This window comes from Homo sapiens, chromosome 17 (assembly GCF_000001405.40).
Source record: "Homo sapiens chromosome 17, GRCh38.p14 Primary Assembly".
Taxonomy (NCBI): domain Eukaryota; kingdom Metazoa; phylum Chordata; class Mammalia; order Primates; family Hominidae; genus Homo; species Homo sapiens.
The window spans coordinates 59170275-59192453 of record NC_000017.11 but is presented as its reverse complement, the minus strand read 5'-3'; the positions used below and the strand labels follow the sequence as shown (position 1 = coordinate 59192453).

Genomic DNA, 22179 nt, shown 5'->3' with positions numbered 1-22179 from the left:
AATACAACGACCCTATGAAGTAAAACGGTGTATTAATTTCCTGTGCCTGCTGTAACAAATTATCCCAAACTTGGTGGTTGAAAACAATTGAAGCTTATTTTCGCACAGTGCTTGAGGCGAAAAGTCTGTCATCAAGGTGTCGTAGGAGCTTCACTGCCTCCCATACCTCTGGGGAAGAATCGGTTCCTTGCCTCTTTTGGCTTCTAGTAGCTGTCAGCACTCCTTGGTTTGTGGCTGCATCACTCCAATCTCTATCTCTGTGGTCACATTGCTTCTCTTCTCTGTATGCATTCTCTGTGTGTCTCTCTCATAAGGGCACTTGTCCTGGGACTTAGGGTCCACCTAGATAATCCAGGAAGATCTCCTCATCTCAAAATCCTTACCCTAATTACATTTGTAAAGCCCTTTGTCCAAATAAGGCAGTATTTACAGGTTCTGGGGATTAGGACTTGAATATACCTTTTGGAGGCTGCCATGTATTCAGTCTCCCACAAATGGTATCATCCCAAATTTATAGAGGAGGAAACTGAGGCCCAGAGGAGTTAAATGACTTGCCTTTTTCTCCTTTGGCTAATTCATCCTGAGGCACAAATTCTGGGAGCAGGGATGGAATTCCAGAAGCTTCTCTCCAGACCAATGAGCACAATGTTGAGACATAGGGGCCTTGCTTAGGGGAGTTTGGAGTGGATATTTTCCTGCATATATCAGTCAGGAAAATAGAAACCACTCTGGATATTGAAAAGAGGGGTAATGTAATACAGGCACTTGGTTACATTTATAATGGAAGAGCTGAGAGGCCTACTGGGTACCATGAGGCAATCTAGAGATTAGCAACAGCAGGAAGGCATTAACTTCCTGAGGCTGGAGAAACAAAAGGTGGAGGTGGTATATCCAGAGGTCTGGAGGTAGGTTTACCCAGAGAATCAAGAAACATTAGCTGGGTGCGGTGGCTCACGTCTATAATCCCAGCACCTTGGGAGGCTGAGGCAGGTGGATTACCTGAGGTCAGGAGTTTGAGACCAGCCTAAACAACACAGTGAAACCTCATCTCTACTAAAAACACAAAAATTAGCGAGGCGTGGTGGTGGGCACCTGTAATCCCAGCTACTTGGGAGGCTGAGGCAGGAGAATCGCTTGAACCCGGGAGGTGGAGGCTGCAGTGAGCTGAGATTGCGCCACTGCACTCCAGCCTGGGTGACAGAGTGAAATTCTGTCTCAAAAAAAAAAAAAAAAGAAAAAAAGAAAAAAAGAAAGAAACATGGAGTATTTATCCAGTGGGAGATGGGGCCAGGAAGGCAACAACTACCATTGCTGGAGAAATCATGCAGTAAAGAGGAGGGGAGGAAACTCCTTGCCTTCTCCCTCCCTCTAGTCTCTCATCAGTGTCTCGCAATAGGCCATCATAACCAGGAACCAGGTGACCTGGAGCTTGAGGAATGTATCCTGTAGGAGCCAGCCCTCCCAGCAATACAGAGCAGAGCTTCTGAAGTGGGGCAAACAGGCCCAGGGACTAGCCCTCACCTGTAGCCATTCCTCCTTCTGGTATAAAAGCACCTGGGTTTCCCTTCATTCCCTCAGTCCACGTGATCTGGTCAGGATACTCACTCAAGGACTAGACACATAACCCAGGCCAAGTTCTCTTGGCTGAGATGGTTCTGTTATGAGAATAAGAATCTAAGGCTGCCAGCAGCCATGTTGCTAGTGCAAAGGGAGAGTCTGTCTGAGAAATAAACTTACTGTAAAGAAGGCAGAACTGAAAGATGAGACAGAGCCAGAATGTTGACAATATCATTTGAGCCTCTGAATCCAGCCATACCCTAGACTTACTGGTTTTATGGGCTTAAGCCGGATTGCCCTGTGTTTCTGCCACTTGTGGCTAAAAAGAATTTTGACTGATACAGCCTTCTAGGTGCTTTCTTAGTGAAGGAAATAACATAAGCTTCATTCTTAATTCTTTTTTCTTTTTTTTTTTTTGAGATGGAGTCTTGCTGTGTCGCCCAGGCTAGAGGGCTGGAGTGCAGTGGCGTGATCTTGGCTCACTGCAACCTCCACCTCCTGGGTTCAAGTGATTCTCCTGCCTCAGCCTCCCGAATAGCTGGGATTACAGGTGTGTGACAACACGCCCAGCTAATTTTTTTGTATTTTTAGTAGGGACGGGGTTTCACCATGTTGGCTAGGATGGTCTCGATCTCCTGACCTTGGGATCTGCCAGCCTTGGCCTCCCAAAGTGCTGGGATTACAGGCGTGAGCCACCGTGCCTGGCCCATTCTTAATTCTATATCATCCTCCTCCCTGGTACATTGAGATTAGTGATTTGGGGTTAAAATATAAGGAGAGCTGAAATAGGAGAAAAGTCATGAAAGGTAGAGTGTGTACACTAGAGGTGAAGGAGAGAAGGGAAGGTTTATAGAATTATTTCACACATACACACACACATTCATTCTAGACTTTTTAAAATAAAAGAAAACTTTTTTTTTTTAGAGACAGGGTCTCACTATGTTGCCCAGGCTAGAATGCAGTGGGCTGGAGTGTCCTGAGGCTCAAGGAATCTTCCCACCTCAGTCCCCTGAGAAATTGGGACTATAGGTGTGTATGCCATGACCAGCTAAAAAATTTAATTTTTAAGGTCTGTTTGAATACTGCCTTGTCACCCACAGCAAACTTCTCTGACAAAGTTACAAAATTATAGGAATTCAAAAAAGCAATGAATTTACTTCCAGAACCAAAATCTCAACTGGTCAATTAGTTTTATTTTATGTTTAATTTAATTTTTTTGCTATTTATTTTTGGAGTCCCACCTAGTCTCAATAATTTTATTTAGGCCTGGTGTGGTGGCTCATGTCTAGAATCCCAGCACTTTGGGAGGCCGAGGCAGGCAGATCACTTGAGGTCAGGAGTTCAAGACCAGCCTGGGCAACATGGTGAGATCCTGTCTCTACTAAAAATACAAAAATTAGCCAGGCATGGTGGCGGGCACCTGTAGTCCCAGCTACTTGGGAGGTTGAGGCAGAAGAACTGCTTGAACCCAGAAGGCGGAGGTTGCAGTGAGCTGAGATCACGCCACTACACTTTAGCCTGGGCGACAGAGCGGTACTTTGTCTCAAACGAACAAAAAAAATTATTCTATTTTTTTTTTTGTCTCAAATAATATTTTTTGAGACAGTCTCGCTTTGTCACCCAGATTTGAGTGCAGTGGCACGATCACAACTCACTGCAACCTCTGCCTCCTGGGTTCAAATGATTCTCCTGCCTCAACCTCCTGAGTAGCTGGGACTATGGACATGCGCCACCACGCCCAGCTAATTTTTGTGTTTTTTAGTAGAGAGGGGGTTTCATCATGTTGGCTAGGATGGTCTCGAACTCCTGACCTCAAGTGATCCAACCACCTTGGCCTCCCAAAGTTATACATTTTAATAATACATGGGAACATCCTATAAACACTGTTCTGAATATACCTTTACACTTAATTTAATAATGTATTATTATTATTATTATTATTATTATTATTATTTTTGAGACACAGTCATGCTCTGTTGCCCAGGCTGGAGTGCTGTGGCGCGATCTCAGCTCACTGCAACCTGTGTCTCCCAGGTTCCAGTGATTCTCCTGCCTCAGCCTCTTGAGTAGCTGGGATTACAGAAGCATGTCACCATGCCAGGCTAATTTTTTGTATTTTTAGTAGAGATGGGGTTTTGCCATGTTGGCCAGGCTGGTCTCAAACCCCTGGCCTCAAGTGATCCATCCACTTTGGCCTTGCAAAGTGCTGGGATTACAGGTGTGAGCCACCACGCCTGGCCATTAGTGTATTCTTTAAAAAAGTTTTCCTGGGGGAGGGGGACTGATGGTGTGTTCTTGAGATCATACCTCATTAGTACATACAGAACTACCTCATTCTTCTTAACGGCTACATAGTATTAAATTGAATGAATGGATTATAATGTATTAAATTAATCCCATATTCTTTGACAGTTTTCTTTGTAAGTTTTCGCTATTTTTCAAATCACACCGCAATAAATAACTTTGTACATATGTACAAAATTTGGTTGCATCAAAAGATATATATTTTAAAAATTTTGATAGATGTTAATTAATTATAGCCCACAGAGGTTTTATCAATTTAGGCCATTCTCAATAACAAGAGAGCACCTGTTTCTCCAAAACTTTTGGTCTTTGATTTGTTTGTTCTGTCAATCTGATAGGCTAAAGGCATTACTCATTGAAGTTTATTTTGCATTTCTGTTTTTTGTGTGTGGCAGAGACTACTAATTGCCTCCCAATATACATTTTTGCCTTCTTCTTTAGTAATAGGAAACCTGACTTTTAGCCGGACACACTGTAATCCAGATGATAGATTACATTCCTCAGGTTCCCTAGTTGCTAGGTATAATTACATGACTATGTTTTAGCGAAATGAGATGTAAGTAAAAGTTCTGTAAATGAGTTTGGGAAGTCGCCTTAATAGGGGTAGTAGGATAACTTTTCTCTTTCTTCCTGCTGCCTAAAATAAAGACATTTTGTTTATGCAAATATTCTTTGAGGCTTTGTCACTGGTACCACACCTAGTCTTGACACACTTTTTTTTTTTTTTTTTAATGGAGTCTCATTCTGTCACCCTGGCTGGAGTGCAGTGGCGTGATCTCGGCTCACTGCAACCTCCGCCTCCCGGGTTCAAGTGATTCTCCTGCCTCAGCCTCCTGAGTAGCTGGGATTACTGGTGCCCGCCATCACACCTGGCTAACTTTTGTATTTTTAGTAGAGACAGGGTTTCACCATGTTGGCCAGGCTGGTCTCAAACTCCTGACCTCAAGTGATCTGCCCACCTCGGCCTCCCAAAGTGCTGGGATTACAAGCGTGAGCCACTGCGCTCAGCCCTGATTCACTCTTGAGATGGAGTCTTGCTCTGTTGCCCAAGCTGGAGTGCAGTGATGCGATCTCAGCTCACTGCAACCTCTGCCTCCCGGGTTCAAGCAATTCACCTGCCTCAGCCATCCGAGTAGCTGGGATTACAGGCATGCACTAACAAGCCCAGCTAATTTTTGTATTTTAGTAGAGAGGGGGTTTCACATTGGCTAGGCTAGTCTTGAACTCCTGACCTCAAGTGATCCACCCTCCTCAGTCTTCCAAAGTGGTGGGATTACAGGGGTAAGCCACCGCGCCCAGCCCCTGATTCACTCTTAAGTGAAGTTGAGCACCTACTCATGTATTTATTTATTTTATTTTATTTTATTTTTATTTTATTTTATTTTTGAGACAGTCTAGCTCTGTCACCCAGGCTGGAGTGCAGCAGCACGATCTCGGCTCACAGCAGTCTCCACTTTCCGGGTTCAAGTGATTCTCCTGATCTCAGATGATCTGCCTGTTTTGGCCTCCCAAACTGCTGGGATTATAGGCATGAGTCACTGTGCCTGGCCCTACTCATGTATTTAAGAACCATTTGTATTCCTTTTCTTTCTGCCCAGGATGGCCTCAAACTTCTGTGCTCAAGTGATTCTACCATTTCAGTTTCTTGAGTAGCTGGGATTATAAGTGTGTACCACTGTACCTGGCTTGTATTCCTGTATTTAGGTGAATGCTGTGTTCATATTATTTCCTCATTTTACTGCTAAGTTGTTGGTCTTTTTTGTATTGATTTGTAGTGGTTCTTTATATATTCAATAATTAATCCTTTTCCTGATATTTGAGCAAATATTTTTGCATCTTATTTTGCTGTGCATAAATTTATTTTTATGTCTGACTTGCTATTTAAAAATGTACAAACAAGCCAGGTGCCATGGCTCACGCCTGCAATCCCAACACTTTGGGAGGCTGAGGTAGGAGGATCACTTGAGGCCAGGAGTTTGAGACTAGCCTGGGCAACAAAGTGAGACCCCCATCCCTATAAAAAACTAAAAAATTTGCCGGGCAGGTGGCACACACCTCTGGTCCCAGCTACAAGGGAGGCTGAGGCAGGAGGATCCCTTGAGCCAGTAGGTCAAGGTTGCAGTGAGCCATGATCATGCCACTGCACTCTAGCCTGTGTAACAGAGTGAGATTCTGTCTAAAAAAAAAAAAAAAAAAAAAAAAAAAAAAAAATTACAAACAGCTGGCAAAATTTTTTTCAGATCTTCTGCTTTAATACTGACAATATTGAACTTCACCTGAGCTCTGTGATTCTGGAAAATAAGGATGGCCAAAAAATCTCCCCATCCTAGGTGGGTGCAATAGTGCAAGCCTGTAGTCCCAGCTACTAAGGGAGGCTGAGGTAGGAGGATCACTTGAGCCCAGGAGTTAGGAGTTGGAGTCTAGGCTGGGCAACATAGTGAGATCCCATCTCTAGAAACAAACAAACAAACAAAAATCTTCCCACAGTTTTATGTCCAGGAAATAATTTTTTATTTTGGAAGTGATGTGGAACCAACTTTTTCCACATCAGTTAGATAAGTTTTATGGATGGCTCCCTCATTTATCTGACAAAGCCAGACACAGACCCTCCAAATTCCCATTCTTTGTCTCATAAGTGATTAGCTGAACTGTTCACTGCCACTGACCAATCTGGACAATATATCTACTAACTTGACCAAACTTTAGTCAGGATTTAGCCCTCCCCATAGGCCCTAGAACCTTGACCTATTCTTGGGCTTAAGCAAGCATTGGTATGCTGAAGAACCTTCAGGAAAAGATGTTCCCTGATCCAATCAGCTATCTGATCAGATTATCCCAGCTCTTCATCTTACTTCCCCATAACCCAGTTTGTTCTACCCTTTGTATTCCTTGCTAACAAAGAAAACTTTTTCGCTTAATGTTTGAGATATAAATCTTATGACTTGAGCATTTTCCCTATTGCAATAGTCTTTTCAAAAAAAGTGTCTCCTTACCTAATTCCAGATTTGCTTTTTATTTGACAATACCAACCTTCAGTGCTTCCTGGAGCTTGCATAATTTACTTTCCAAAATGCAAAACTGTTGTTTTACACTGTAAAGTTCTCGGTGGCAGATACGAGATGGAAAGATGGTGTCTTTCAATACTTCTAAACTCTGAAATTAATAATAAACAATTCTGAGTCCTATGAGTAATATGATAAGGACAAGAAAACAGGAACCAGAAAGTGACTTGATGTATGTTTTTATAGAAGCAAAGGCAGACTTGACTCAATAATTTCATCTTATCTAAGTTTAGCTTGAGGGTTGGACTGACTTGAGCACATATGTATATAAACACCAAGTGTGTAGAAAAACTATAGCACTGAAAACAGGGATGTCACATCCATACCTGGGTTATGCAGTTCTGGCACCAGCTGTATATAGACCATACTCTATTTGTCCAAAGTTTTATTGCATCTCTGATGTTAGGAAAATTGAAGTTCCAGGATGATGTTAGCCAGCTTCTGCTTTGAGATATATCTATTGAAGAAATACCGACTCTGTAGGAAAAACAAAATGAAACAAATAAAAAACCCCTAAGTCAGAATAATAGCCTTGGCCTGGTGTGGTGGCTCATGCCTCTACTGCTAGCACTTTGGGAGGCTGAGGTGAGGAGATTGCTTGAGACCAGGAGTTCAAGACTAGCCTCGGCAACATGGCAAAACCCTGTCCCTGCCAAAAAAAAAAAAAAAAAAAAAAAAAACTTAATCAGGCATGGTGGTGTGCCAGAAGAGAGAAGAATATGCAAACCAGGTTTGAAGATGGGTTAAATCAGAGCTTTTCATTCCACAAAAGAGAACTTTTAATGGGGTCAGAACATTGATCTTCTAATATATGAAAGCCTGTTAACTAGGAGAGAGATAGCAAACTGTTTTGTCAGGACCCACCCAGCTCTGGCGGTTTAAAGCGTCATGAATGGAAATTTGAACTCCAGAAAAGCAGAGCTTCCTACCAATGGGACTTCCATAGCAATGGGATCTGCTTCCTCATTCAGTTTGGGCCTTTCCCATGAGCAAGAGACTCCTAGGAGAGCCACAGCCCATTAGGAAGCCATATGGGAACTCACTCACAGGTTCTTTGTTTATTTTTTTGAGACGGAGTTTTGCTCTTGTTGCCCAGGCTGGAGAGCAATGGTGCGATCTTGGCTCACGGCAACCTCCGCACCCCGAGTTCAAGTGATTCTCCAGTCCCCGCTCCTGAGTAGCTGGGATTACAGGCACCCGCCACCATGCCTGGCTAATTTTTTGTATTTTTAGTAGAGACGGGGTTTCACCATGTTGGCCAGGCTGGTCTCACACTCCTGACCTCAAGTGATCCACTTCCTTTGGCCTCCCAAAGTGCTGGGATTACAGGCGTGAGCCACTGAGCCCGGCCAGGAACTGACAGGTTTTTTGGATGGTCTCTGAATGTCATCCAACTCTTTTATTTTTTATCAAAAAAATTTTTTTTGACACAACGTCTTGCTGTGTTGCCTAGACTGGAGTGCGGTGGCAAGATCATAGCTCACTGCAGCTTCTAAGTCCTGGGCTCAAGCGATCTTCCTGTCGCATGAGTCTCCCAAGTAGTTGGAACAAGGTGCCAGCCACCACACCTGGCTAATTTGGTTTGGTTTTGTTTTTTTAGAGATGGGGTCATGCTATGTTGCCTACACTGGTCTTGAACTGCTGGCCTCAGGCAATCTTCCTCCCTTGGCCACCCAAAGTGCTGGGATTACAAACATGAGCCACTGTGCACAGCTGAGATTTTTCGACTTAGTCTTTTTGTACATGCGATATTTTATTCATAGAATCCATAAATGGTAGGGAAATTTCTGAGTTCAGAGCAATACATATGATACAAAACTTAATATATAGACTAGAGTTTCTTAGCCGAACTGGAGGGGCTGGCCTTAGGTAATCCATGGACTCCCTGAAACTGGGGACACCATTGGAAATATGAGTGAGCTCATGGGCAGTTTCCTATGATTTTCAGGCCTCAAAATGTCTCTTGGACTCAAAGATGCCTTACGGCAGAGGACACGTGTACCCCCAGTATAGAATCTCGGACAGTGAATGTCAGTAAACATTCGGCAGAAAAGCTCTGCCAAATTGAGTGCTCTGATGTGACTTTTTCATCAAGTCAATGTTCCTGGGATCTCTTGTATATGATAATCTCACACTTGTAAGGTTTCATAGTTTCTGCTTACCCTAGTTTTCTTTCCCACCCTCCCTCTCCCACCAGACTGGACTCTGAAATGGGCATGTACAGAGAAGAGGAGACCCCAAAATGCTTCAGGCTTTGAGTGGAGAAGACACAGCCTCTGCTGGGACAGGGAACAGATGGATGCGGAGACCCTGAAGATGCTTTTGGATGGTGGTCTGAGGTTGGGACAGTGGCAGGAGATACCATTCACCCAGGATCTCCAGGACAAGAGACCAGCCTGGCAGTTACATGTGTTTTTCTTCAAACTGGTTGCCAGGTTGGAATGACCAATGACATCAGAGATTCCAACCTTCCTGATTGGAAGGACTGGACTCCATGGGCATCTGGGAGCTCAAGTGGACAACTGCATCTTCTCAGAGCTGTTCTCCACTCCTGACTTCTCTCAGCCTCGAGAATTGATAACACACCTTCTGGGTCCTAGCAGAGTCCAGAAGAAGGCCTTGGATAGAACAGAGACTAGGTTCCGTGGGTTGGGATAGATTTTGGGAAAGATCATGACCAGCCATCAACCGCACCCCCAGGATGAGGAGCAGAGCCCCCAGCTGAGCACCTCAGGGTACCCCCTCCAGGAGGTGGTGGATGATGAAGTGTCGGGACCATCAGGTGAGGGGACTGGAGGAAGAAGAGGTGGGATAGGATTGACTAAGGTGAAGGAAGGGGGCCAGGTGCAGTGGCTCACACCTGTAACCCTAACACTTTGGGAGGCCGAGGCGGATGGATCACCTGAGGTCAGGAGTTCAAGACGAGCCTGGCCAACATGGTGAAACCCCATCTCTACTAAAAGTACAAAAATTAGCCAGGTGGTAGTGGTGCGCGCCTGTAATCCCAGCTATTTGGGAGGCTGAGACAGGAGAATCACTTGAGCCTGGGAGGAAGAGGTTGCAGTGAGCCAAGATTGTGCTACCGCACTCCAGTCTGGGTGAGAGAGTGAGACACTGTCTCAAAAAAAAAAAAAAAAAAAAGAAGGGTCAGAGGTCAGGAAGGAGAACCTGAGGAGGGTGTATGGGAAGAATGGAGAAATTCAGGCCAGGTGCAGTGGCTCACACCTGTAATCCCAGCACTTTGGGAGGCCAAGGCGGGCAGATCACTTGAGGCCAGGAGTTTGAGACCAGCCTGGTCAACATGGTGAAACCCCATCTCTACTAAAAGTACAAAATTGAGCTGGGCATTATGGCAGATACCTGTAATCCCAGCTACCTGAGAGGCTGAGGCATGAGAATAACTGGAATCCGGGAGACAGATGTTGCAGTGAACTGAGATTGCACCACTACACTCCAGCCCGGGCGACAAAGCAAGATTCTGTCTCGAAACAAAAAAAAAAAAAACCAATAACAAAAAAACAAGCAAAAAAGGAGGGACTCAGAGAGCCAGGGACCAGGGAAGGACATGAAGAAGTGTTCTGAGGACAGAGATACGGAAGAATGGGGAGGGGAAGGAGCGGCTCATGGGGTTGAGCAGAGGAGAAAGCCAGAAAGATGGCTTGGAGAAGCCAACAGTCTGCAAGGCTGGGGAGGATGGAGAGTGGTTTGGGGTTGGGGTCGGGGTCGGGGTCTAAGGTGATCAGTTGCAGAAGCATTACATGGTGGCCTGGTTTCTTTACTCAGCCCCTGGGGTAGATCCCAGCCTCCCATGTAGGTCCCTTTGCTGGAAAAGGAAGAGGGAGTGGTCGGACCAATCTGAGGAGTCATCGGAGGAGGCGCCAGAGAAGGAGCTCGCCCCTGAGCCTGAGGAGACCTGGGTGGCGGAGATGCTGTGTGGGCTCAAAATGAAGCTGAAGCTGAAGCAACGGCTAGTGTCATTCGTGCTCCCTGAGCACCATGAGGACTTCAACAGGCTGCTTGGTAGGAGGACACCCCAGAGAGCACCTCCAATCCTGTTCTTTTAAAAACGAGGAAAACTTTCAATAACCACACTTTTCCAATGGGAAAAATATGCCCCCAGTGGGTGAGCTCTCCATGCGGGAGGACTCAGAAGTGATCACTCATGAGGGACGCTTAGGAGATGATAGAGGATTAGGCTGGAGTTGATAAAGTTTGGCTCTCGGGATAAGAAAGCTTGGTTTTGGGCTGGGCGCTGTGGCTCACGTCTGTAATCCCAGCACTTTCGGAGGCCGAGGCGGGCGGATTACGAGGTCAGGAGATCGAGACCATCCTGGCTAACATGGTGAAACACAGTCTTTCTAAAAATATAAAAAATTAGCTGGGCGTGGTGGTGGGCGCCTGTAGTCCTAGCTACTTGGGAGGCTGAGGCAGCAGAATGGCGTGAACCCCGGAGGTGTTGCTTGCAGTGAGCTGAGATCGCGCCACTACACTCCAGCCTGGGTGACAGAGAGAGACTCTGTCTCAAAAAAACAAAAAAACAACAAAAAAAGAAAGTTTGGTTTCGGGACAGGTGCTGTGGCTGATGCCTGAGATCCCAGCACACTGGGAGGCTGAGGCAAGAGAATTGCTTGAACTCAGGACTTTGAGGCTGCAGTGAGCTATGACTGCACGACTGCACTCCAGCCTGCATGACAGAACAAAACCCTGTTTCAAAAGAAAACCAAAGGCCGGGCGCAGTAGCTCATGTCTGTAATCCCAGCACTTTGGGAGGCTGAGGCGGGTGGATCACCTGAGGTCAGTTGTTCGAGACCAGCCTGACCAATATAGTGAAACCTAGTCAATACTAAAAATACAAAACTTAGCCGGGTGTGGTGGCGCACGCCTGTATTCCCAGCTACTTGGGAGGCTGAGACAGGAGAATCTCTAGAACCCGGGAGGCAGAGGTTGCTTTGAGCCGAGATAGCACCACTGCACTCCAGTCTGAGAGACTGAGACCCTGTGGCAAAAAAAACAAAAAAAACAAAAAAAAAAAAACAAGGACGGGCCCAGAAGTCAGGAAGGAGCACCTGAGGAGGTGTGTGGGAAGAATGGAGGGACTGAGGCAGGGTGCAGTGGCTCACACCTGTAATCCCAGCACTTCGGGAGGCCAAGGCAGGCGGATCACTTGAGGCCAGGAGTTTGAGACCAGCCTGGCCAACATGGTGAAACCCCATCCCTACTAAAAGAACAAAAATGAGCTGGGCGTTATTACGGGCACCTGTAATCCCAGCTACTTGGGAGGCTGAGGCAGGAGAATCACTGGAACCTGGGAGACGGAGATTGCAGTGAGCCGAGATTGCACTACTACACTCCAGCCTGGGCGACAAAGCAAGACTCTGTGTCAAAAAAAAAAAAAAAAAAAAAGGAGAGACTCAGAGAACTAGGGATGAGGGAAGGAAATGAGGAAGTGTTCTGAGGACAGAGAGATGGAAGAATGGGGAGGGGAAGGAGCGGCTCATGGGGTTCAGCAAAGGAGAAAGACGGAAAGATGGCTTGGAGAAGCCAGCAGTCTGCGAGGCTGGGGAGGATGGAGAGTGGTTTGGCGTTTTGGGTCTGGCTCTAAGGAGTTCAATTGCAGAAGCATTATACAGTGGCCTGGTTTCTTTACTCAGCCCCTGGGGTAGATCCCAGCCCCCTGTGTGGGTCCCTTTGCTGGAAAAGGAAGAGGGAGTGGTCGGACGAATCTGAGGAGTCATCGGAGGAGGAGCCAGAGAAGGAGCTCGCCCCTGAGCCTGAGGAGACCTGGGTGGCGGAGACGCTGTGTGGGCTCAAGATGAAGCTGAAGCAATGGCGAGTGTCACCCGTGCTCCCTGAGCACCACGAGACTTTCAACAGGCTGCTTGGTAGGAGGACACCCCAGAGAGCACCTCCAATCCTGTTCTTTTAAAAAAGAGGAAACTTCCAATAACCACACTTTTCCAATGGGAAAAATATGCCCCCAGTGGGTGAGCTCTCCATGCGGGAGGACTCAGAAGTGATCACTCATGAGGGACACTTAGGAGATGATAGAAGATTAGGATTAGGTTGGCAATTGGGATAAGAAAGCTTGGTTTTGGGCCAAGTGCGGTGGCTCACGTCTGAGATCCCAGCATGTTGGCAGGCTGAGTTAAGAGGATTGCTTGAACTCAGGACTTTGAGGCTGCAGTGAGCTATGATGGCACCACTGCACTCCAGCCGGGGTGACAGAGCAAAACTCTGTCTCAAAAGAAAAAGCACAGTAGCTCAAACCTGTAATCCCAGCACTTTGGGAGGCCGAGGCAGGTCAGGAGTTAGAGACCAGCCTGACCAACATAGTAAAATCTGATCTCTACTAAAAATACAAAAATTAGCCAGGCGTGGTAGCACACGCCTGTAATCCCAGCTACTCAGGGGACTGAGACAGGAGAATCGCTTGAACTCGGGAGGCCGAGGTTGCAGTGAGCTGAGATCATGCCACTGCATTCCAGCCCGGCCCACAGAGCGAGACTCCATCTCAATAAATAAATAAATAAATCAATAAATCACAATAAAAAATCAAAGAAAGCGGCTTCAGCTGTGCCCTCTGAAACTTAATGTCTCTTGCTGACTTTTCTAAACCTAAGTGTCTCCATCCATAGAGGGGGATACCTAGGCCATAGTCACACCCTGATGTGACTGTCTCATGAGGAAATGATGGGAATTCCTTTATGACTCTGCAGTGGTCCCTCTGTGTCTGCTGGGAGGGCATTCTGGCTTTTTGCCAGCTCTACATCCTGTAGATTCTCACACCCAGGGCCTCCTTCAGCCTCTTCTCAGGGGAGTCTCAGAGCGGGAGCCTCTCTCCCTTGCCCAGTGAAAGTCATTCTCCTCTTTCCCATCCACCTCACCTGTGGCAGCAATCCTGAGACTTCCCCCTGGGAGACACACTTCTCCTTGCTGCCCTGCTGCTCCCACGGAAACCCTGTCCTGCTTTTCAAGCTGACATCTACTCTCTAATCACAGAGGATCCTGTCATTAAAAGCTTCCTCGCCTGGGACAAAGATTTGAGGTTGTCAGACAAGGTAAGTTTGTTCTCCACGGAACCGTGTTCCTGCTTCAGTGCACTGCCAGGGGGAGGGTGCAGCTTCTAAACCCACAGTTCCTCTCTTCTCTCCCTCCAGCACTTCCCACCAGATGCTCCCACAGTCTTCTTTTCTTTTTGTGAGACAGTCTCGCTCTGTTGCCCAGGCTGGAGGGCAGTGTCTCAACCTTGGCTCACTGCAGCTGAAGCCTCCTGGGTTCAAGGCATTCTCCTGCCTCAGCCTCCCAAGCAGCTGGGATTACAGGCATGCACCACCATGGCTGGCTAATTTTTGTGTTTTTAGTAGAGATGGGGTTTTGCCATGTTGACCTGGCTGGTCTTGAACACCTGACCTCAGGTGTTCCGCTTGCCTTGGCCTCCCAAAATGCTGGGATTACAGATGTGAGCCACTGTGCCCCTCTGGCTCCCACAGTCTTGAGTCTTGGTGCCCACCTGTTTTTTTTTTTTTTTCGAGACAGTATCTAGCTGTGTTCCACAGGATGGAGTGCAGTGGCATGATCACAGCTCACCACAGCCTCTAATTCCTGGGCTCTTGCAATCCTGCCTCAGCCTCCTGAGCAGTTGGGAGTACAGGCACATGCCATCATGCTCGAATAATTTTTATACAAACAGTCTTGCTATGTTGCCCAGGTTGTTCTAGAACTGTTGGACTCACTTGATCCTCCTGTCTCAGCCTCTCAAACTTCTGGGATCACAGGCTTGAGCTGCCACTCCCGGCTATTCTTGGTCTTTTTATTATTTGTCAGCATCTCCCTCAGGACTCTGCTGGTCTCTTGCTGAGTGAATGAGTGGCCCCTGCCTCTCCTATGGGTCATTTGGGATCTGAGCTCTGGGCCACAGTCAGGCCGCAGCCCTGAAGCTCCTAGCCCCTTTACTCTCAGTTCTTTGGGACAGTTCTCTGCCTGGCACACAAAAGACCCTCCTGATACCAGCCGACCTAGACACACTCCTTCAAAGATCTCATCAGAGCCCACCATCCTGGGAGCATCACCAACATGCCTTCCTCCAGCTTCTCGGATTTGCATCCGACCTTCAAATACCCCACCACCCCGCAATTTCCACATGAGCACAGTCACCCCAACACTCAGGTCCCTTCTCTGATGGGCAAACCCTCCCTAGACCCCCATTCCACTGTCTCCACGATCTTCCTCTCCCAAGATGTGACCTCTCCCTTTCTGTGTTCCTTTCTCTCCACCAGTATCTCCTGGCTATGGTCATAGCATATTTTAGCCGCGCCGGCCTCTTCTCCCGGCAATACCAATGCATTCATTTATTCCTGGCTCTGTGAGTGGTTTGCTTCCTCCTATCTGTCAATATCCAATACCCTGGGACAGCGGGGGAAGTGGGATTCCAGCCTTTCATTTATTCTTGCACCTATTTGTCCTCTTTACTCTGTGTACAAAAAAGAGGATTATACTATCTTGTTTTTAGACTGCTGTTTCTAAAAAGAAACTCAGGCTGGGCGCGGTGGCTCACGCCTATAATCCCAGCACTTCGGGAGGCCGAGGCAAGCAGATCACTTGAGGTCAGGAGTTTGAGACCAGCCTGACTAACATGGCAAAACCCCATCTCTACTAAAAATAGAAAAATTAGCCAGGCATGGTGGTGTGCACCTGTAATCCAAACTACTCGGGAGGCTCAGGCAAGAGAACCCGTTGAACCCAGGAGGCAGACATTGCAGTAAGCTAAGTTTGAGCCACTGCATTCCAGCCTGGGCAACAGAGCGAGACTTTTTCTCAAAAAAAAAAAAAAAAAAAAAAAAAAAAAAGCCAAAAAAACCAAATTCCAACGCCAGTGTACAAATAAAAGAATAAAACAAAAGGAACCATAAACCGCTCCTAAGGGGAGAAGAAAAGGAGCAAAGGAGCGGACACGATGCTTCCCCCAGCAAGCAGACATTTCTGGTTCTTCTGTCTCTCTCCTTCCCATATCAACTGCAAACGCCATCGACCTCCTCCGGGTTCCCATGACAGAGGCAACAGTTCAGGTCCCCCTTGCATCACTCGAATCCACTGTCAAATGCTCCCTGCTGGGGCCTCCTGGAGTCTCTCCCCAAGCCTGGGGGCTTCCTAGTGCAGCCTGAGCGTCTTTCCAAAGCACAACACCCTCACTGCCCACCTGAACAACTTCCTTAGCTGATGTCTTTCTAAATTGAGGCCAGGGTCCACAGTGCAAATTCCACCCTCTCTATAATCTCTACAACCAAACTGGCTCGCCATCTTGGTGTTTCCTGGTGTGGCTTCACCGCTCTTTCCAAATGCCCTCCACTCGACTTTGCGTTTGTGTTTTCTGTCTGGGTGTCCCGCACACATGTGGTTCTGAAGGGAAGGACCCATTCCTTAAAGTCAGTTCACCCCATAGCCTCTGTGATGCCTTCCCTCATCTTGCAACTTTTACATGCTTGTAGCTCTCCAGTTACATCCTATTATAATGTGATATTGGGATTACGTCATCTGCCCTGATTACTCCCAGTCCCATTAGACTAGATGCCTGTAGAAGGCAGGGTCTTGGCACAATATCAATGTATTCAATTTCTTTTATTTTTTTGAGACAGACTTGCCCTGTCCCCCAAGCTGGAGTGCAGTGGTGAGATCATAGCTCACTGCAGCCTCCATATCCTGTACTCCAGTGATCCTCCCACCTCAGCCTCCGGATTAGCTTTGACTACAGGGCTGTGACACCACACCTGGACAGTTATTTATTTATTTATTGAGACAGAGTCTTGTTCTGCCTCTGAGGCTGGAATGGAGTGGCCCAATCTCGGCTCACTGCAACCTCCTCCTCCTGGGTTCATGTAATTCTTGTGCCTCAGCCTCTTGCGTAGCTAGGACTAAGAGGTGTGCCACCACACCAGGCTGATTTTTGTATCTTTAGTAGATATGGGGCTGGTCTCGAACTCCTGGCCTCAAGCGACCCACCTGCTTCAGCCTCCCAAATTGCTGGGATTACAGGCATGAGCCACCACGTCTGGCGTGTCTTTTACATTTTTTATAGAGACGAGGGTCTTGCTATGTTGCCCAGGCTCATCTCAAACTCCTGGCCTCAAATGATCCTCCTGCCTCAGCCTCCCAATGTGCTGGGATTCCAGGCGTAAGCCACCACTCTCGGCCACCAGTTGGGTTTTTGTCTTCATCCTGAAGGAGTGGGAGACGCCCTTCAGCAGGTCTCTGACAATCAGGGCCCTCCTGAGGAAGGCATGGTTCTGCAGGGTGGGTGCCAGTCCTGAGCTGAGGATCGTCCCCTGCCCTCCTCTCTGGGAAGCTGACCTCAGCCAGAGGTCTCTCCTGGTGGTGTCCCTGAGCGGCAACCTGATTTCTGTCCCCAGCTACCTGGCCAATGACATGGAGGAGGACAACGAGGCCTCCAAATGAAACATTTTCTACTTCCTGTACGGGAAGAACCACTCCCAGATACCCTTGTTCCATAAACTTCGGTTCCAGTTCTTCCGTTCCATGCGCTGGAGGGCTTGGGTTTCCCTGGAGTAGTTGGAGGAGGTAGGCGGGGTGGGGGTAGGTGGAGGAGGTGGGGAGGAATCAGGTGGGCTGGAGGCTGGACAAGGGGAGGGAGGGGTATCCTGGGGAGTCCCCATCTTCTTAAGGGGCGTTTGTTTTTCCAGATCCAGGCTTATAACCCAGAGCACTGGGTGTGGGCACGAGATCGCACCGCGTTTCCTAGAGCTCCAGGGACTGTGAGGCCTGAGGTCATCAGCCTGAGGGAAGGTACATCTGTGTCCTCTGGGGTAAAGGCAGAATATTGGGGTCTATTTTGGAAATCCGAGGAACCCAATTGCTTGATCCGGCTTCGAGCCTGGGCAACATGGCGAGATCCCCTCTCCATAAAAATACAAAAATTAGCCAGGTGATGTGGGAGGATCACTGGAGCCTGGGAGGTTGGGGCTGCAGGGAGCCCTGATCCTGCCACTGCACTCCAGCCCGAGCAACAGAGTGAGACCCTGACTCAAAAATAATCATAAATACTGAGTTCGGGGAGGTTCATTATGATTGACACACTTGAGTTACCGATTTGGGTCGAGGGTTCAGTGAAGCTTTGGTTCACATCTTGTGCAGCTAACCACGTTCAGCACAGAGCATGAGACTTCATCATGAGGAGGTAGGATTATGGATTAGGCTTCTGGACTCAGGGTTTGTGATGTTGTCACATTAGAAACGGATCTAGCATGGTTACGAGTTTAGCTCTTAAGTAATGCAAAAGGCCCCAGTTGTGATGAAGTCCAAAGCCACATTCTTTGAGGGTGCCCTACTCCCTGGGCAGACCCACCCAAAGTCCTTGCTATGAAGCAGATCACTGGGGCTGACCTTGGGTATATTGAGTGAGTTTTGGAGTCAGGGTTACCAAACTGTGAGTTTCACAGCTGAACACGATGGTTCAGAAGCAGGCTATAGAATGAAGGACAGGAGATAAAATTTGATTTCTCAACTGCTCTGAACTCTAGTTAGACTTGATGTGGGACGTGAATAACCTTCCTGTCTAGAGAGCCGCCTCCTTTAAGTATGACATCCTCTCTCTCACTTCCAGAACACCGGATCCAGGGGAGATGTGAATTTTCAGCAGGAACTTTATTCCATTGCTAATGACAGACACCAGGAAGGAGGAGAGGAGCCATTTGTGCAGATCATCTAGAAGAACCTGGACTGTTCTAGACGGAGCTGAATAGAGTGATCAAGTCGTCCTCCCAGAACCAGGGGGGTACTTCTGTGTCTGGAATTGGTGGGTTCTTGGTTTCACCGACTTCAAAAATGAAGCTGCCAACCCTCGCCATGTTACAGTTCTTAAAGGTGGCGTGTCCGGAGTTTGTTCCTTCTGATGTTCAGATGTGTTCAGCCTTCTGGCGGGTTCGTGGTCTTGCTGGCTTCAGTAGTGAAGCTGCAGACCTTCGCGGTGAGTGTTACAGCTCTTAAGGCAGGGCGTCTGGAGTTATTCGTTCCTCCCGGTGGGTTCGTGGTCTCACTGGCTTCAGAAGTGAAGCTGCAGACCTTCATGGTGAGTGTTACAGCTCATAAAGGCAGTGCGGACCCAAAGAGTGACCAGTAGCAAGATTCATTGCAAAGTGCCAAAGAACAAACCTTCCACAGCGTGAAAGTGGCCCCCACTGGTTGCCACTACTGGCTTGGGCAGCCTGCTTTTATTCTTATCTGGCCCCACCCACATCCTGCTGATTGGTCCATTTTACAGAGAGCCGATTGGTCTGTTTTACAGAGAGCTGATTGGTCCATTTTCACAGGGTGCTGATTGGTGCCTTTACAATCCCTGAGCTAGACACAAAAGTTATCCATGTCCCCACTAGATTAGCTAGATACAGAGTGTCAATTGCTGTATTTAGAAACCCTGAGCTAGACACAGAGTGTTGATTGGTGTGTTTACAAACCTCGAGCTAGATACAGAGTGCCGATTGGTGCATTCACAATCCCTTAGCTAGACATAAATATTCTCCAAGTCCCCACTAGACTCAGGAGCCCAGCTGGCTTCACCCAGTGGATCTCGCACCGGGAGGGCAGTTGGAGCTGCCTGCCAGCCCTGCGCCATGTGCCCACACTCCTCAGCCCTTGGGCGGGCATGCGATGGGTGCTGTGGAGCAGGGGGCGGCGCTCGTCAGGGAGACTCAGGTGGTGCAGGGGCCCACCATGGCAGGGAAGACTCAGGCATGGCGGGCTGCAGGTCCCGAGCCCTGCCCCACGGGGAGGCAGCTGAGGCCCGGCGAGAAATCGAGCACAGCGCCAGTGGGCCAGCACTGCTGGGTGACCCCGCGCACCCCCTGCAGCTGCTGGTCCGGTTGCTAAGCCCCTCACTGCCCGGGCTGGCCGGGGCAGCCGACAGCTCAGAGTGTGGGGGCCGCCAAACCACGCCCACCCAGAACTCAAGCTGGCATGCAAGCGCAGCGCGCAGCCCCGGTTCCCGCCCGTGCCTCTTCCTTGACACCTCCCCGCAAGCTGAGGGAGCTGGCTCCGGCCTTGGCCAGCCCAGAAAGGGGCTCCCACAGTGCAGCGGCGGGCTGAAGGGCTCCTCAAGGCTGGCCAGAGTGGGCGCCCAGGTGAGGAGGCACGGAAAGCGAGCGAGGGCTGCCAGCACGCTGTCACCTCTCACTTCTAGGAATCCATAGAGAACAGTGAGAAACCAGGGGTGTTTCTGGTTCCACCCCTTTCTGCACCACCACCTCTATTTTTATACCGCTGAATTCCAACCTCCCTGGGGCGGAACCTGGAGGTCCTCTTTCCTATGGACTTGGTTGCCACAGTCCAAGAGCATTTGAAGGCACAGTGCAGACACTCAGATTAGCACAGAATTCTTTGTAAAAATATGAGTGCCATAGACTGTAACAGATAGCTTCATACACACTATGCATTTATTGGTTTGTTTGGAAAATGTTGGCCATCGAATTATTAATAGGTTTATTTCAAATAGCTTCAAAATTGTTGTACTTTTGAAAATATGCTGTTCCTGTAGATTTTTTCATGAGTTATAGCTGTTATGTATATATATATATAAAGATAATTTTCATTTCAACAGAGAATCCTTTTTATCCTAAATCTTTTATCTTTAAATGTTTTCTGTATTATTATATGTGCCCCTGAAGCGAGTACACTTTTTATCTATGATACTTACATAATAATCTCTTCTATTTATAGCTATTGGTAGTTACCCTAAGTTCCTGTCATAGAAATTTTTATTTGCTGTTTAGATTTGTGACTGAATTGTGAGAATTCAGTTGTAATTTTTAACATGTCTTAGATATACTAACATGTCTAATATATACTATATATTTTATTGGTTTATTTTGAAAAAGATGGGCATAGAATTATTACTACATTTATTTTAAATATTTTGAAAATACTGGTATTTTTGGATACTGTTCCTGTAAAGTTGTGAGATGGGTGTCATAGCTGCTATATACATATAATTTTGTTTTCCTTTTTAAGAGAGGATTCTTTTTATCCTAAATCTTTTATATTTAAATCTTTGTATCTATGGTTACATGTGCTGCTGAAGGGAGCACTCCTTTTATCTATGATACTTAATATATGTATTACACTTATAGCTACATGATAGTTCCCCTAAATTCTTATAAAAATAAATTTTTATTTGATGTTTACTGTATGTTTTTGAAATGTGAGAATTCAGATGTAATTTTTTACTTTGTATTGTCATGTTTGTATGTTACTTTTTTTTTTTTTGAGACGGAGTCTCGCTCTTTCTCCCAGGCTGGAGCGCAGTGGCACTGTCTCGGCTCACTGCAAGCTCTGCCTCCCGGGCTCACGCCATTCTCCTGCTTCAGCCTCCCGAGTAGCTGGGACTACAGGCGCCTGCCACCGCGCCCGGCTAATTTTTTTTTTGTATTTTTAGTAGAGACGGGGTTTCACCGTGTTAGCCAGGATGGTCTCGATCTCCTGACCTCATGATCCGCCCGCCTCGGCCTCCCAAAGTGCTAGGATTACGGGCATGAGCCACCGCGCCTGGCCGTGTGTTACTTTAAAGAGGATGTGGGTTTTAAAGGAGGACATGAGCTGTGTGTTTTCAAGAGAACAATGCAGTGCGTCTGTTGGGGAAACGTAATAAAGATGAAGTTTTCTCACCTTCACAGTGAGTGTGATCATATTGGTCTGGATTGATTATTTGCTGTCATGTGACATTTTTCCTTAATGGGGTTTTGGTTATTTGATCATACTAATTAGCTCTAGAAGATAATCCTGCATTATTTTTTATGTAGAAAAAAACATGAGGGTGGGTACAGTGCTCACACCTACATTCCCAGCACTTTTGGAGGTCATGGTGGGAGGATCACTTGAGGCCAGGAGTTTGAGGCCAGCCTGGGCAACACAGCATCAACATCTATTTTTTAAAATTTTTTTTAAAAAGAAAAATAATAGAAGAGAAGGCCAATCCCAAGCTAGAGGTTTTGTTTGTTTGTTTTGGAGACAGAGTGGGAAGATCTCTTGAGCCCAGGAAATCAAGGCTGCAGTGAGCCTTGATCATGCTACTGCACTCCAGCTTAAGTGACAGAGTAAGACTCAGTCTCAAAAGTAAATAAATAAATAAAAATTAAAATAAAAAATTAATTTCAGATAAAGCATGCATAATTTTAGTATAAATATATTCCAAATGTCACATAGGACATAATTATATGAAAAAATTATTCATTGTTTATCTGAAATTCAAATTTAA

At 47.0% G+C, this 22179-nt stretch overlaps 1 protein-coding gene and 1 pseudogene across 3 annotated transcripts in view, besides 1 other annotated feature; one reads left to right on the top strand and one right to left on the bottom strand.

Annotated features, from left to right (window-relative positions):
• Nucleotides 1-22179, bottom strand: part of PRR11 (proline rich 11) — a 50964-nt gene that overhangs the window by 14256 nt on the left and 14529 nt on the right. For all 3 annotated transcript variants that reach the window (XM_024450828.2, NM_018304.4, XM_047436387.1), the window contains 2 exons: nucleotides 7250-7400; nucleotides 6892-7014 (listed from right to left, as the gene is read on the bottom strand). In XM_024450828.2, coding sequence (XP_024306596.1) covers nucleotides 6892-7014; nucleotides 7250-7400 — 274 coding nt within the window. The remainder of the gene's footprint in view (nucleotides 1-6891; nucleotides 7015-7249; nucleotides 7401-22179) is intronic.
• SPDYE22P (speedy/RINGO cell cycle regulator family member E22, pseudogene) lies at nucleotides 9414-21595 on the top strand (annotated as a pseudogene).
• Nucleotides 9575-10076: an enhancer, noted in NCBI's record as "H3K27ac hESC enhancer chr17:57259739-57260240 (GRCh37/hg19 assembly coordinates)". NCBI's record gives its function as "activates a minimal SCP1, AML or CMV promoter by ChIP-STARR-seq in primed H9 embryonic stem cells {active_cell/tissue: H9 hESC(primed)}" and the evidence as "EXISTENCE:reporter gene assay evidence [ECO:0000049][PMID:30033119]".